The sequence below is a fragment of the Homo sapiens genome, chromosome 9 (genome assembly GCF_000001405.40).
Source record: "Homo sapiens chromosome 9, GRCh38.p14 Primary Assembly".
NCBI classification, from domain to species: domain Eukaryota; kingdom Metazoa; phylum Chordata; class Mammalia; order Primates; family Hominidae; genus Homo; species Homo sapiens.
Genome location: NC_000009.12, coordinates 30,039,788 through 30,041,363, shown reverse-complemented (window position 1 = coordinate 30,041,363; position 1,576 = coordinate 30,039,788). Strand labels below are relative to the sequence as shown.

The window sequence follows — 1,576 nt, the reverse complement described above, 5'->3', positions numbered from 1 at the left end:
GTAAAAGACAGTCTGTTGACAACTGACTTTTTTAAAAGAAAACATGATCACCATTGTAAAATATTAATAATACAATTTCAAAATTAATTAAGTATGCATTGTTCATATATATTTTAGTGCAATATGGATGGTACTTATAAATCACCAAGTAAGTTTCAAAGAATTATGAGAAAGCTTTCTACAAAACTCTTTTCTTAGGTATATATCAAAACACGTAAAGAAATATATGACAGTTATCATATTCATATTGAAAGATAAGCACTGCAATTACTTCAAAAAAAAAAAAAAAAGGAAAGACCCAAACAAAACACAACAAAACAAAAAAAGATCCTTCATTTGAAATGGGAGGAAATAGAGCATTCAACAAGGACTGGAAATCCTCTTTCTCTTCCTCTTCATGTCTTCCTAGTCATATGTCTGACTCTTAGACATATATAAACATATCTTCATGGTCACATCTTTTCTTTTAAGCTCTTAATTTCTGCTAGTTTTCCTTCTTTGTGATCTTCCTTTGTCGTCAAAGAAATTTTGCAGACTAGAACTTATTTCCTAAATTTCTGATATAAAAATCTAGAACTATGTTAGCACTCAACTCAAGGCCAGAAACCCAATCTGAAATAGATCAAGCAAAAAGGATAGTGTATTGAATTAAATAGCCAAACTCCAGAAAGGATGAGCGGAGATGGGTTCAGAGATACCTAAACTGTAGACAGTTACATCATAAAAATCGTCTGCATCATTTTTTTCTGTCCTTTTTTGGTACTTCACTACTGAAGAAAGATGACAGTGAAAATGAAGTAGAAACATTCCATTAGATACTCACCAGCTGTGCCAAAAAAAGAAAAAATGAAGTAAAAGTTTTATTTCCAATCCTGTTTAGAAAACTTGGCTAATATTATTAAACTTTTTATAAATGAAAGAATACAATTTTATTATAATTTCAGAAAATGTAAAAAGCAATAAATAGACTGAGTTACAAAGCACATGATCACAGCAACAAGTATCTTAAATTGAATTTAAAACTCTCTAACCAATTAATGCTATATGTAGGACGCAAATGAATTCACAGTTAGTAAGTACAGAAACAAAATGCAATTGATTCTGTGCTGTCATTTCTACTATAAAATTTCTACCAGAACTCACCAAATTGCTCCTTATTACCAAATCTAATGTCTGCATGCATTTTTCACTTGTATAAATTATCTGCAGCTATCAACCTATTGCTACACTTTTGTCCAGTATTAAAATTTTCTCTTCCTTGATTTCATAGTGGATAATATCAATATCTCCCATATTGTTCTTTTGTTTTCTTTATTGTTTTTTTCTGTTACAGCTCTCTGAATTGAGGGGTTCACCAGGGCTGTAATACTATGTATATTCTCTATAGTCAGTCACATAATGGTAGTTCTCCTCCTTTTTAGTATCTTCAGCTTTCAATGTCTGCAAATGCCACCTGCAGCATAGACACTGTACTACGTCTTCATCAATAGGTTATTTTTTTCTTGATCATGCACAGCTAAAGTGCATTTCCCTACCTACCCTGAGGGAATCTGAGTTGAATTCATGAAGCTCTGTT

The 1,576-nt window shown here is 31.4% G+C and overlaps 1 annotated feature.

Annotated features, from left to right (window-relative positions):
* Positions 926 to 1,095: an enhancer, noted in NCBI's record as "experimental_107773 CRE fragment used in MPRA reporter constructs". NCBI's record gives its function as "activates a minimal promoter by MPRAs in K562 erythroleukemia cells, with activity observed for the non-introgressed 9:30040352 variant allele {active_cell/tissue: K562}" and the evidence as "EXISTENCE:reporter gene assay evidence [ECO:0000049][PMID:34662402]".